Raw genomic sequence first — 14,246 nt, 5'->3', positions numbered from 1 at the left:
CCGTCCTGACCCTCAGCTTCAAGCACCCAGCAGGGAGGGTCTGCCCCGGCTCCTTTCCCAGGTGCCCTCAGCAGCCCTGGACGACACCCCTGTGGTTCAGCCAGTGTTGTGAGTGCACAGGCCACACACACACACACATGCACACACAGACACATGCACACCAGGAAGGATACACACACTCACAAGCACACACCAGGCAGGACACACACACACGTGCACACGCACCCACACACTCACCCACGTGCGCACACACACACAACCAGGCAGGACACACACCCACACACACACCAGGCAGGACACTGACACGCACACACCAGGCAGGACACACACACACATGTACACACCCACACACACGCACCCACATGCACATACCAGCCAAGACACACACATACATGTACACATATCCACACACCCACACACTAGGCAGGATCCACACCCACCCACACACGCACGCCAGGCAGGACACCCACACACGCACGTGCACACTCACCCATGCACGCACACCAGCCAGGAAACGCACACACATGCACACGCAACCCCCCACACACACATGCACCAGACTCCCTCCTGGTTTCCTGCTAGGGGAGCAGCGACCACACCCCAGCCTCCCCAGGGCCACCCTCCTCATCTCATCTGCACAGTCGCTCCCACTTCCCAGATGAAGAAACCAAGGCTGCCGGCCACGGCTGCGCACCCCCACCTGGGGCCAGGGCAGGCTCCCCAGGACTGGTGTTAGTGAGGGCCGAACAGTTCCAGCTCCCAGCAGGGCACTCACTGGGCTGTGGATAGCTGTCCACTCTTCAGGCTACGCCCAAGGATTCCAGTAAGGGAACCAGAGCCATTGGAGCGTTGCCACCACCGGAAAACAGCCACCGACCCGGGTGGGATGGTCTCCAGTAGCATGGTGGGATGGTCTCCAGTAGCATGGTGGGAGGAACAGGGCAGTCCACAGAGGGCTGGACGCTTCCTTCCACAGCTCACCGGCCGGTCACCGTGGCCGATCACCCTCTGGGTTCCCGAGTGAGAGTCCTCGGCCCTCATGCCCTGAGCCTGCAGGTCACCATTGTGGGAGAAAATGGAGCCACTGTGGAGCCACCCCAGGGTCCTGGGTGCGGAGCCATGCGGAGGGAGGGTTTTCAATGCCCTGCTACTGTGACCTGCGTTTCCCAAAGCCGTGCATGGGATGTCGTGATCAGAAAAAGGCAGGACAGAAGCAACCCCCGAATACTATAAATGCCACTTTAACTGGGATAAAATAGGAAATCAAAGTTGATCTGACGACCCCAGACTTTCTAGGACAAGGCACCCAGTGTTGAAAGTGAGCAGCAGATTCCCACGGCTGCCTCTTGGCCCCGTCAAACGTGAGGTCTTTGTTTCCCTCTCAGAAGAGAGATCACGGGTCTGTCATCACAGGGCATGGGTACGGAACCAGACCCAGATCTAGTCTTCAATTTCCGAACACTCAGAATGACTGTCTCTCTCCAGTGAGAGGCGGAGTTGATCCCTCCACAGCGGGGCTGACGGGGGAGGGGAGGAGATTTTCATACAAGTGCCCTCTGAAGTGGATGGAAGCACGTTGGCCCTTTTCTCAGGAATTGGCCACTAAGGAAAAAAGCTGGAGGACGTGTTCCCAGATGCCAGAAGGCTGACCAGAGGCGGGAGCCCCTCCTCCATGGCCACAGCACCCAGGCTTCTGTTCCAGGAAGCCAGGCCCCTTGATGGGCAGCCAAGCGCCTGCAGCCTCCCCGAACCCAGGGCTCATGGCCTGCCCGCCTCCCACTGTCCCCCCACACCATGGGGACGCTCTGCCTTTATGGGGCAGGCCTCAGGCCTTCACACTCACCCTAGGCAAACCGGCCTCTCGCTCAGAGATTCAGGCCGGGCCTCTGCACCGCAAGGGGGACATGGCCCAGGGGGGTCCCTCTCAACCCTCGTCCTACTGTCCTGGGCACTGGGGAAAGCAGTGGCCCTGAGCATCTGTATCAGTTTACAGGCAGAATGGATCTGCTTAGCAGCCAGTCTTCCAAAATGAAACCAGAAACCAGGTCTAATCATTTGAGCTCGATAAAGATTCCCCAAGTGCCCGGGGAAGCTAGGCTGTGGCTCGCTGGTAACTGGTTTGCTTTCTCTCCAGACACACAGATCGTGCAAGCAATAAAATGAAATACGTTGGCTGCACCCACAATGTGAAGGGGTGGGGGATCTATCTCACGAGGGCATCGTCTGGGTAAGATGATATCAGATGTAGCAAACAAGAAAAGCAAGGTTCCAGAAACCAACATATATCAGCTTTTGGCAAAGCCTGCGCACCGCCGTTATGCATTTTAAATAACTCGATGCCAAATCGTAACAGGCTGTCCTTGCCAGAAACCATGAGAGGTCAAGCGAGGATCGCAGAAGAGTGCAAAGATTTGTCTTTAGAAAGCACAGTGCTGAAATCTATTTTGAGTTTTGCAAAACAAGAGACCGTCTGGGCCTCTCTCTCTTTTCCTTGGCCTTTCCCTTTTCATTTTAAAACTAACATCTAAGTCTCGTCCCCACTGCAGGCCTCCAGCTCGGGGCCCAGGCTGGGCTGAGCCAGAGTGTGAGGACAGGACCCTAGCAATTGTGTCCGGGGCCGATGGTGGTCCTGCCCTGCTCCCAGGCTCGAGGGGCCTCCCAGCTGAGTCCAGAGTAAGCTCTCGATCCCCTAAAGTTTGCCGGAACAGACAGCGGGCCCGGGCCTGACACCAGAGCAACCATGCCCCATCTACAACGCTTCTGCACAGAATCAGAAGCCCTTCTGGAATCTTCCTGTCTCTGCCTTTTCGAGGTGCTGTGACCATCACTGGCGATGGGCACCTCATTGTCCCAGGCCCAGTGGGGAGCCCACCTCCAGGACTGGTTCCTGTCTACTCCTCCCTCACTCCAGAAGCACCAGCCCTACAGGGCAGGGTCCCTGACAGAGCCCAGGGCTGGAGGCTCCTGGTCCAGTCCCCAGCCCTCTGCCCACCACAGAGCTCAAGCACGGTAGGCCACTGCTTGGGATTGGGTACAGGCCCCTGGGTTTTCAAAGCTCATCTAGGGATTCCAGGAACCGCAGCAGGGTCTGGGTCCACCTGATCTGACCTGACTGTCCCTCGTTGAGGGCTGTCTGGACCCCAGGTGCTGCCTGCAGGTAGCCAGGCCTGTCCCTTCCTGCGCACCTGCAGCCAGCTCCTCCGGCCTTGCCCTGTCCACCTGAGCAGTGGACTGAGCCCCCGGGGGCATGGGAGAGACCTGGGGAGGAGGATGCCATTGGCACCTGTGGCCAGGGCTGGCCTGGGGCCAGACTGGCCGACACTGTTCCCAGGCACAGCCAGGCTGGCCGCGTGCGGCGGCGGCGAGAGCTGCGGGGACCGACTGTGCCTCTGCAAGCCCAGGGGAGCTGGGCCGGGAAGAGCGGCCAGCGGCGCCCGGGCCCACAATGGCCCCTTTCTCCCCGCGTTTATTGAGACAGTTCGGTTTGGAATATTTAAACAGTTGTATATTCACAGATTGCAAGAGGGAGAGGATTACCTAAGGACGAGCCAGCCCGATCAATGCATAATCAGATAACTGCCCGGGCTCTCTACAAGGTTTCACAGGAAGATCCGCCACTCAAACGCTAATTCCTCTTGCTAATTAAGCAGCCTGTTAATTGCTCTCGGGCCTCTAATGCCCCTGTCATTATGCCTGTAACAGCCCCGTGACAGCAATGGGCCTGGAGCTGGGGCCCACAAAGGAGCCGGTCCTTAATGAATCGGGCCAGTGCAGGGACCTGCACCCTTGGCCGCGCCTCGCCTGTGCCGCGCTCCGCTCCGAGGGGCCAGGCGTAGTGGGGTCAGTGCCCCCCGCGCAGACCAAACTCGTTACAAATGGCCCAACCTGCCGTGACCGACAGCAAACACGGCTGAGCTCCTGGGAGAGCCACTGAGGGATGTTTTCCTTTCTTCCCTTAAAAAATTAAAAGCGGAGCCCGGTCCAGGGACCTGCACAGCCGCTCCCCTAACTCATTGCTCCTCCAGAGCCTTGGCGAGCGCCAGGCAGGGCCGGTCCCCCCAGAGGCCTGTGCTTCAGAGCGTGTGTCCCGCTGAGCCGGCGACTCTGCCCTTCCGAACAGCCCAGCAGCCGCTGAGTGGGGGGCCTCAGTTTCCCCATGTGCCCTGGCGATGACAGTGGCTACTCTGGGGGGTCAGAGGAGACCTGGGCTGAACAGAGGCCCACTTCCAGAAAGGACAGGAGGACCGTCCTCTTTGCCCATCCAATCAGCGGGCACTGGGCTGGCCTCCTCTGGCCAGCTCTGAGGCCTCTCCAGCCCAGAGCCCAGGGGCTGGGCCGTCCGCTAAGAAAGCAGCCTCAGCCGGAGTGATTCACGGATGCGGGAAGCGCGCTGGCTGAGGAAGCCCAGCATTCTCAAGGAGGTGCAGCTGCGGGGTGCGCACATGGTCAGCCTTTGGCTGGTGACTGTGCCTTAGCGAGGCAGAAATGTCAGAGCTTTAGGCAAAGAGAAACTCGCCAGAACTGTAGTTGGTTTGGGTCAGCTGATCAGGTTTTCCCAGAGACATGCAAAGAGCCCAGAGAGCCCCAGGGGGCTCCTGCGGAGCTGACAGGAACCTGAACATTGCGGGAGCTGGAACCCAGGACACACAGGGGCCACACTGCAGCTGCTCGCTTCCAGTACCCCTGAGACCTGGGGCCCCTTCTCCAGCCTACTTCCCACAGGGCTGCCCGGATGGGAGCAGGGAGGGGGCTGTGGATTGAGGCCTGGCCCTGGAGCTGGCATGTTCCCACCCTGACCCCTCACATCAGCCACCAAGGGCATAGAGGTCCCCCCATCCTGCTGGGGCCCACCTTAGGTGGAGGGGGGCTTCGAGGGGCTGTCACCAGGCTGAGTAGGGATGCAAGCCCAGATACACCTGACCCCCGGCCCTCATTCTTCCTTCCGCTCCAAGGCCTGGCAGGACCGCAGATGTGGCTCCACACACCAGGCCTGGGACATGGCAGGTGGCTCTCTCCCAAATGGAAGGGTCAGGGTTGGCCAAAGGACCAAGCTGATCCTAGCATTGGTGCTATAGTGGTAAGCATCGCTGCCTTCCAAAAGGCCAAGCTGGGGCTGTCACCTCTGTCCTGTCCATGATCAGTTCCTGGACAGTGGGTCATGTTTAGAGGCCACGGGAGCAGAGGTTCCTGGCTGAAAGACATAGGTCAGCCCAGCCAGGCCAAGAACCACTCAGGGAAACCAGTCAGAGTTCAGAAGAGCTCTCTGCAAAACAGGAGACTGTCTGGGCCTCTCTCTCCCTCTTTTCCTTGGCCTTTCCCTTTTCATTTTAAAATTAACATCTAAGTCTTGTCCCCACTGCCGGCCTCCAGCTCAGGGCCCAGGCTGGGCTGAGCCAGGGTACGAGGACAGGACCCCCAGGACTCCAGGAGCCACTGTGGCCAGCTCCACGGCCCTGTCCACCTCCACCGGCCCTGCCCTCCTAAGCACCCGGGTCCCAGCAGTTCTTGGGGGTTCTCACGGGTGGGGGCACATCTAACATGGGGTCCCAAAGGCAGCGTCAGAGAGAGAAGTCATTCCACACAAAGCCTGGGAGAAGGAGACGACTCGGACGCCCACCATACGGCGTGGGGTGCGCATCTGGGACGCTGACTGCAGCTGAGCTGCCCCACCCGAGCCCAGGTGCTCGGAGACAGGGCCTCATTTAACCTTGACAAGGACACAAGTCTCTGTCTTGTCCCCAGTTGAGGAGAGGCCAACTGCCTTGCCCCAGACCCCGCAGCTCATCCACTCGGAGCTCGGACTTGATGTCTCGCCACTGGGGCAATGCCCTGGGGCACCCCGTGAGCACCCTGCTTCTCGGGCCACCGGGAGGCAAATGAGAAGAAAAAGATGTTGCCACCCTCACAGCCGCATCTCCTGAGTCCAGCTTCACGCCAGCTTGGCCTTTGGATGCCAAGGAAGGGGGCATGGGATGGGCTGCCCCCCCTCCCAGTTCCAGCAGCACCTGCTGCACTGGAGAAGACTCTGGGCCCCCCTCACTGGGGAGTGGGACTCTGCAATCTGTGCTGAAAGGGTGAACCAGGTGGGGCAGGTGTTTATGTAGCCGAATGGCTGCCCCCTCCTCCAGGAAGGCCGCAGGCTCCACATAGCTGCTGGCAGACACCCTTCACCCGTGCCTGGGCATTGATCTCAGCCACCCACACCCCCCTCTGCACGGGTGCCACACTTGGGGGTTGATAAATTTGTCAGACGCCTGGAGATACATTGCTTTGAACCCCTCAGCCCAGGACTGTCACCTGTTAGGGTCCTGTCGGCTTTCCTGAGGGCCTCTCTGCCATGGAGACAGACACGTTCCTGGGAACCTGATACCAAGGCATCCTGCAGCCCCTGTCCCCTGTGCAAGGGTTTGGCTTTGCCATGATGGCAGAAGAGGGGAGCGCCGAAGGCTTGGGCCTGCTGTCCCATGTATGAGGTGCAAGCACACAGCCGACACAGCAACCACGCATCCAGCCCTCGGGCTCTTCACTTTACACCGAAGAACACTGACTTCTCATCCAGGACCTGGTGAAATCAAGGAGGTTTCTTCCCACCCACCTTGGCCCCTTGCACACCGCTGCCCTGAGCACCAAGACCCCCTGAGCCGTCCCCCAGGCCTCGGGCTCCCGTGCAAGCGCTCCGCCTCTTGCCCTTCCCGCGCTCCAGTCCTGGTTTGAATTTGCAAAGCTGGGGCTGGTTCTCATTCCCAGCCGCCGCCTCCCTAGAGCCCTACAGGAAGATTCAACCTGTTCAAAGTAGAAATAAAATAAAATAAAATACAACAGCATCTCCCACCCCTTATTAAATTAAGCATTCTGGCCAGTTAGTGAAACCCTAAATTTGATTTCCTTTCCTGGGCTGTTTTTAGTGTGGGGGCAGCACGGAGGGGGGGAATGTCTGGAAGGAGGGCAGGGCTGCGGTATTTGCTGAGTCGAGACGGTTCATTTTTTCCACTCGTATAATGATCCTTTCTTCCTCTTGCGGGCACTTGAGTTTTGTTTGTTCTGCTGAAGGCTTAAACTTCTCCACGCGGCCACTCGCAGCCCCCAGGTGGGCCCCAGGGGAGGCCGGCCACCTTCAAGGGGTCCATTTGCTTCTGGGACAGAGCTTTGAAGAGACATTGCTTCAGGTTTGTGACAGACTCAAAGCCTCTGATGGGATTTGCAGAGACTTGCTGTTTCCGGGATCTGCCATTCCGGGGGCTCCTCACCCCCAGGAGCTGTGTTTGAATGTTTGAGGGACATGACAGAGCAGCAACCGGACAGAGGAGGGGATCTGCAGAGAGCGTCGAGGGCCCAGCATCTCAAGGGTCGATTAGAAATTGTTAGAAGGGGCACTCGGTTTTTCCCAGCACTGCACGGGAGGCCGGGAGGAGTGCGCAGGCGGAAGCTTCCAGCAGGCAGTCCTGTGCCACACAGCCCGGCTGTCTGTGTCCAGGCCATGGCTGGACGTGTCCGCCTGACCTCCACAGACACCGTGCGCAGGAAAGGGGCTCGCGGTGAGGCTGGCTCCCCTAATCAGATCCATACTCCGCCGGGTGCGCGTTTCATAGAAAAGATCTGGCGATACCAACCGCCCGCGCCTGCCACTCTGGTCCAACTGAAAGGCCTTTGTTCGGGGAGATTAGAGCGGGATTTGCTTTCCTTTTTCAAGATGTTTCACTCACTACATCACCCAGGGTACTGACGGGGCTGCAGCCCTTCTTCCTCCACTTCCCGCCAGGGCCACACATTCCGGGGTCCCCAGCCGCCTGGGGAGGGGGTGCTGGCAGGAGGGAGGCCTGGCCGGCCCCGCAGAGAAGGGCCTGCAGCGCGCAGCCGAGGTGGAGGGCCGCTGTCCCCCAAGGCTGTCGGCGGCACTTGGCCCTGCCCCGGATCCCCTAATCAGCTGGTTCCCTGTCCTCCCCTTCCTCGGCACAGCCTCACATCTGTTTCTCGGCATTCGGAAGCCCATTCATTTCTCACCACCGCCCTTTGCCCCGCACTTCCAGGCCAGGCCCAGGCCGGGAGACACTAGCGGCCTTGCAGGAGGCAGGCGACGTTCGGAGTCTCCACAGAAACGGTTTGCTCCAGCTGGGGGCCTCTGGGCTACCTGGCTTGTCCTCACTGTGTTTTGTTTTCATCAGGAGCTGATCTTTTCTGAGCCCGGTCCTGAAAACAGCTCCAGGTTGCTTTCCTCCAGGACAGGCTTTTAAAATAAAAGCTGTTTTTAAAAACAAATAATGTCATTCTCCCGTTTGTGCCCTGCCCCCAAACCAGGGCCATTTTCAGGGGCAGATTGCTAGGACCGGAGGCACCGCAGCCCCGGGTCCTGCTGGGAGGGTGGGCTCCTGGGGCAGGCTCCGTCCTGACCAGGCCAGCTGATCTTACGCAGCTCGGGGGCCAGGCCTGATCCTGTGACCTGCGGGCTCCGTGACGGGCAAGCTGTCCTCTGGCCTCAGCCTCCGCTGACTCCTCAGCCCTGCCTCCAAGCCGGGCCCTAACTAAAGCATTTTCCTACACGACAGAAAGAAAGGGGGAGAAACCACACGCTCACCTTGTCCCAGCACAAGATTCTAACATGCTCACAAGTCAATCATATCCTGTTTCCAATCCAAACCCAAACATGTGAAGGTCCCTCAGACATTCAGACACAGCTCCTGAAGGTGAGGAGCCCCTGGAATGGCAGATCCCGGAGAGAACAAGTCTCTGCAAATCCCTGCAGAAGCGGAAAGGGGCTTCTAATGGTTCTTTCTGGGGCCGGCAGCCTCCTTGCACTCTTGGCCAGGGCTCGGCCCTGCCATCCGGGTCCCCAGACTCTGCCTGGCTGGGGTCACTCCCACGAGGCCCACCGCTTCCAGACCCTCTCCTCACCGACTATCCACCCTGCCTTTCACTGCGAAAGGTGTCAGAAGCTCCAGCGCAGAGACGCAAGGGCAGGCATCCTCCCGCTCCCAGGGGGCTGCCGGGGACAGGGGCAGGGACAGAGGGGTGGGGGTCTCCCGAGTTCCTTTCTGGCTGCCTGGGTTTCTCTTTCTCCAGCTTTGCGGGGATGGTGGCAGACACTCTGGGGTAGCTAAAAAGAAATGACCTGGTGCACACTTGAAGTGGTCTTTTTGTGTGTGACGACCCCCGAGTTCAGGAGCAAAGCCCCTCCCGTCCTCCCAGCCACTCTGCAGCTCCTGTTTGTCACCGGGCCTTGGGCCAAACCCCAAAACTCCCTTCTGCGGTGACGACCTCAACCAGGCTGAAGCGTACCAGACACGTCCCTGGAATCTTCCAGTGCCCCGGGAGGGGAGGCTGCCAGACAGGGGGCAGGGAGGACACGCGATCTTTGTGGAACGATGTGATATGGGCCAGTGTGGAGACTTCCCACAGATTTAATCCATCGCCTTAATTACTTGGATTTCAAGCTGCGAACTGATAACTCTGCCGACGGTGAGGGCTGACCCTGCCATCCCCCACGGAAGCTCAGGGGCCACCTGTGGGATAAGGGCTGGTGGTGGGCAGACTGACCACTTCCACCTGCCCCTGAGCAAGGAGGCACCAGCAGCCTCGGCCACCAGGCGGGGCTCCCAAGCTAGGGCAGGCAGGCAGGGCTGCAGCCTGGGTGCTGCTTCCTCTCTCCCCCCTCCAAGAAACAGCCTCCAGGCAGGGAAGGGGCTGTGGGGCCGCAGGGATCCTGGGGGCTGCCCCTCTGCAGGCTTCCCTCTCCCCCGCACACTGCAGATGGGCTGTGTCAGCTGCTGAGCAGGGGACAATCCGGCGTGACAGGGGCAGGCCTTTCTCAGCGTCTGCAGCAATTCCAAACACTTAACTCCACCGCTTACGTGAAGAAAAAGGATCAGTCATAAAAATCTCTTTGTACAAAACACGGCACCCCCAGCCACTCTCCCACTTTCCGAGGCCTTGGCCCTTGATTTCCTATCTGCCTCATCGGGCCATGGCCAGGCTTCTAGAACCCCCTCCCCAGCCAGGTCACGATCAGCAGCCTGATTCAGAGAGAAAACACACAACATCACCCCCTGCCCTGGATGCCAGGCACGGGACAGCACCCAAGTCCCCATCCCTGGGGGTGAGGCTTTGGAGTGACCCAAGGCCACACTAGAAAACTCAGCCCCCATGTCCCCCAACCTGGCCCAGGCGGCTGTGGAGGCCAGGGCTGGATGGGGAGTCCTCCTCCCCGCATCCTCTCAAGGAAATGACTTTCCACGCCAGTGTCTGGAGAAAGGTAATTAACCAGACCCCAGAGGGCCAAGCCTGCAGCGGGTCACCCGCCTGGCCGCACAAAGAATGTCCACGGCACCGGCCGAGGCACCGGCCCTTCACCAGCACCTGGAAAGGAAGTCCCACTGTGGCCGCCGGGGTGGGGTGCTCCTGAAAGCAAATGGCCAGGCTCTGCCAGGCAGGGGCTGTCCAGCCCTGGGTCGATAGCTGTGCAGCTGGAAGTCACTAGGCCAGCCAGTCCCACCAAAAAGGCCCTTGGCCTGAAGGAGGGCACAGGGTACAGAGATGGCCATACCGTCTCCCACCTCCCGGGCCACCCCCAGCTCTACAGGGAGGACCCACCCTGCCTGCTCTGGGGTCAAGCAACCCTGTGGGCCAGGGTCTCGCTCCTCAGCCAGGGTGTTTTCTTGCCAAAATGCCTTAGAAGGTCGGGCAGGGGGCTCTCCCAGGCCTTTCTTTGATGGGAGTCTTCAGTCCCACTTGGGCACAGAGGTGCCTCGGGCCCTGTGTCCAAACACCTGCAAGTGCACACACAGCGCATGCACGTGCACACACACTTGCACACAAACGTGTACACGCACGCCCTAGCACGCCAGCAGCTGGGGTCTCCCTGGACTCCATCCACGTGGCCCCCAGGCTGAGATCAAGTCCGCTCTGGGGGTCCCTGACACCCCCCGACTGCCAGTCCTGGAGACATGGTCATATGCCACAGAGCACCTGAGCATGTGGTGAAAGCCACACAGACTCCCTGGTTCTTTCCCGGCTTTGCCTCCCCCTCTCCTGGTGGTGTTTTGTTCATCTTCATGGAGACCTGGGCCATGAGCTGGGGGCGGATGCCATCATGCCGGGGAAGGCCCCTGGCCACACTACCCGGAATCCAACCACTTCTAGCTCCCAAAGCTGCCCCCTTGCCAGCTTAGGTCCTGGGTAGGGAGTGTCCAGGCACACCCAGGAGCCCCTCTCCATGGCTGTCACGCTTCCGAGGGGCCAGGTGGGGGTGCAGGAGTGTGAATTGCCATCCAGGCCACCAGGGCTCCATGCTGTTTCCTTCTGGATGGCTCCATTTTCTGCACTCTGAGCAGGTCTGGATCAGCCTTCTGGGGATAGCTCTGTGCGTGTGTATGCACGTGTGTGCACGTGTGTGTGTGCGTGTGTGCGTGTGTACATGCATGCACACACAATCTTTCCAAACACACACAGCATGAGCATGCACACACATGCATGTACACACGCACACACGCACACGCACACACACATGCATGTACACACATACACATGCACGCACACACACATGCATGTACACACACAGCATGAGCATGCACACACACATGCATGTACACATGCACACACGCACACGCACACACGCGTGCATGTACACACACACAGCATGAGCATGCATGCACACACACGTGCACAACTTGCATGGATTTCCGGCACCAGGAAGCCCTGCCTCTTGTAGCCGGTGAATCTGTGGCACCACCTGGAGCCTTTGTCCTGCATTCCAAGTGGAAACATGAATGTGCGGAGGCCTCTCCCCAAGACCAGCGAGCCCTGGGGTCTGTGGTCCCATGGAGAGCCAGCACCTGATCGCTGGAGCACAAGGACAAGGCGGGCCCGGGCCTGTGGCTCAGCCCAGCGGTCAACAGGAGGCCAGACGGGACCTGGGCCTGGACTAGGCTGGGTTGCCGGGCCCCCTCCAGAAGTAGGGCCTGGCTCTGCTCCTCACCCTGGAGATGGGCCCTGGGGAGGCAGAGTCCTTTTCTGCTCTGGACAACTTGGCAAATCAAGCAGAAGGAAACCGGGGGTGGGGACAGCATAGGCGAGGCCTGCGTGGTAGCCAGAGGTGAGGTGGCATGGCGATGCCCCCAGGCTCTAGACCACTCCCCAGACATGCACCTCACAGGCTCTCTGGGGCAGAAAGGGTGTTCCTTCCCCCTGCGTTCTCACCCGCCAGCTCCCAGCCACCTCTGCAGAGACCCTCCGAACCCCTGGTTCCAATTGGCCCCATCCCTGCACGGTCTAATCCAATTTCCGACTCCTGAGGAAGGCCAGGGCCATGACCACCAGGATGCTGGGGCCAGCACTCCCGGTCCCCACTTGCCATGTTTGTATTTAAAATGCCTGTAAGCCTGGGTCAGCCTGGGGACGCTCTCATAGAGGCCGGTGTGAGACAAGAAACCAGAGATGAATGATCCCGGCTGATGGGAGCCGAAACAGCCGGAGCAGAAGAGCACGCAGGAGGGGCTCCTCCCACCGAGGAAGCAGCCCCCGATAGGAGCCCCTTGCTCTAGCCCTTCCCGTGGGTCCTGGGGGCAGCTGTGCCCACCTGTCACCCCACTTTCAGGGCCAGAATTCAGACTCACTTTCTATACTTCCAGGAGGGATATGGACCAGAAGTCCTGATCCACCCCAGGTGTGAGTGCCGTGGAGGGAGGGAGGTCGGGCTTGGGCTGTGACCAGGCTGTGCTGCAAGGAGTGCCCAGTCACGGGGGTTTGTGGAGGGCCTGACTGGAGGCAGGTGGGGGCACACGGAGCTCCAAGCCCTCCACCAAGTCACCAGCGGGGCCAGAGCCATGGAGCAGCTAGGCCTGCTGGGGTGAGGGCTTCAGGGCTGCAAGAGCAAGGGTGTGGCCAGAAGTGGCTTCTGACCTCTGAGGTCAGCCTGACCATCGTCTGGCCAGAGCTCGGGCATAGACCCGCAGTGACAGGCCACACCGTGTCTGCCATCAGAGCCGGAGCTGCGGTCCCCTGGGGCAGCCTCTGTCCCGGGCGGGGAGAGAGGAAGGGCTGAGCAGACCAGGCACTGCCCCAGCCGGGGAAAGACAAGCAGGCGCGTCCCCGAGTGACAGAGCCCAGACCAGGACCTGCGGCTTGGGAATGGGGTCTGGGCATCCAGGCTGGGCTGCCATCTTGAGGGCAAAATTCTCACAGGAAGGGAGCAGGGAGGTACGGTGCCACGTCTCCAGGCCACCCGTGAACCCGCGTCCCCCCCGTCATTGGCCCTGGCTCTCGGTTCTCACACTGTGGGTATTAAGCACGCACCGCGGAGTGAGCACGCCGGCGCAGGGCAGCCGGGGAGCTCTGCCTACTGTCCCCCCATGAGAGGGACACACTGCAGAGACACGGGTGCCATGGGGTCTGGAACCATCCCTCCCTGCCACCTGTTCTCCCCGGTAAGGAACAATTCAACGGCCACCAGTGCTGCCCCTGAGATGACCACCCACGCTAGGCCTGACCTTGACCTCCCTGAACCCCAAGGACTCAACCTGACGCCTGCCGTGTGAGGGGCTCCGGCTGGCCACACCTGCCTGCGTTTAGCACCTGCCATCGAGCCCCGCCCCCTGGGGAGCTGCAGACGCTGGGAGGGGCCGCCTGGGAGTCCTCCCGGGAGGCTGGGGCATGGACAGCCTAGATAGCAGCCCCCCAGATGCTGGACACAGGGTGGGAGGCTGCAGTGCTGGCCTCCTGACACCCGAGACTTCAAAGCATGGGCCAGAGAAGAGAAGAGGTGGGCAGAGCCAGGTAGAACAGAAACAGCTTTTGGGAAGACAGCACCTGGCATTGGGCACCAGCGGCCCGAGGGCACCCCGAGGATGCCAACCTGTAGCCATAGGAGATGCCGTGTGGAAGGCAGGACTGCAGGCCAAGGGCTAGACGCCCAGGCCAGCGGCAGCCCCCGGTCAGCCCGGCCTTTGCCCCCATCACTCAGGGGATGCCAAGACCCTCCGTGGCCCCCGCCCCCTCTCGGCTTCACTCAGGCTTACGGCGGAGGCCGGCGCCGGGGCAGTGTGCACAGACTATGGGGGGATCTCGCCTTTGTCCACATAAACGCCACTCGCTAGGCTGGCGCTCCACTGCCTGATGGAATATTGATCCTCAGAGTGCAAAGTCCGCGTGCCATTAGTCCAATCTCTCTCAAGCTGACACAATCCCATCATTTGTCATCTCCCCGTCCCGCTGGGTTTGCTCAGGAGCTGGCGTATTTGCTCTCTCTGCCACTTTCC

General features: G+C 60.3%; 1 protein-coding gene and 1 non-coding gene across 3 annotated transcripts in view, besides 3 other annotated features; both read right to left on the bottom strand.

The window, feature by feature from the left end:
• PRDM16 (PR/SET domain 16) overlaps positions 1 to 14,246 on the bottom strand; it is a 369,419-nt gene that overhangs the window by 309,020 nt on the left and 46,153 nt on the right. The gene's annotated exons all lie outside the window — the stretch shown is intronic.
• Positions 438 to 1,363: an enhancer, noted in NCBI's record as "H3K4me1 hESC enhancer chr1:3044803-3045728 (GRCh37/hg19 assembly coordinates)". NCBI's record gives its function as "activates a minimal SCP1, AML or CMV promoter by ChIP-STARR-seq in primed H9 embryonic stem cells {active_cell/tissue: H9 hESC(primed)}" and the evidence as "EXISTENCE:reporter gene assay evidence [ECO:0000049][PMID:30033119]".
• Positions 1,567 to 1,627, bottom strand: MIR4251 (microRNA 4251). Its single transcript, NR_036215.1, has one exon. It is a non-coding gene; the product is annotated as a microRNA 4251 (primary transcript).
• Positions 2,807 to 3,417: an enhancer, noted in NCBI's record as "H3K4me1 hESC enhancer chr1:3042749-3043359 (GRCh37/hg19 assembly coordinates)". NCBI's record gives its function as "activates a minimal SCP1, AML or CMV promoter by ChIP-STARR-seq in naive H9 embryonic stem cells {active_cell/tissue: H9 hESC(naive)}" and the evidence as "EXISTENCE:reporter gene assay evidence [ECO:0000049][PMID:30033119]".
• Positions 4,030 to 4,641: an enhancer, noted in NCBI's record as "H3K4me1 hESC enhancer chr1:3041525-3042136 (GRCh37/hg19 assembly coordinates)". NCBI's record gives its function as "activates a minimal SCP1, AML or CMV promoter by ChIP-STARR-seq in naive H9 embryonic stem cells {active_cell/tissue: H9 hESC(naive)}" and the evidence as "EXISTENCE:reporter gene assay evidence [ECO:0000049][PMID:30033119]".

The sequence above is a fragment of the Homo sapiens genome, chromosome 1 (genome assembly GCF_000001405.40).
Source record: "Homo sapiens chromosome 1, GRCh38.p14 Primary Assembly".
NCBI lineage: Eukaryota > Metazoa > Chordata > Mammalia > Primates > Hominidae > Homo > Homo sapiens.
Note: the sequence above shows the minus strand (reverse complement) of the source record. Positions and strands in the feature narration are given on the sequence as shown.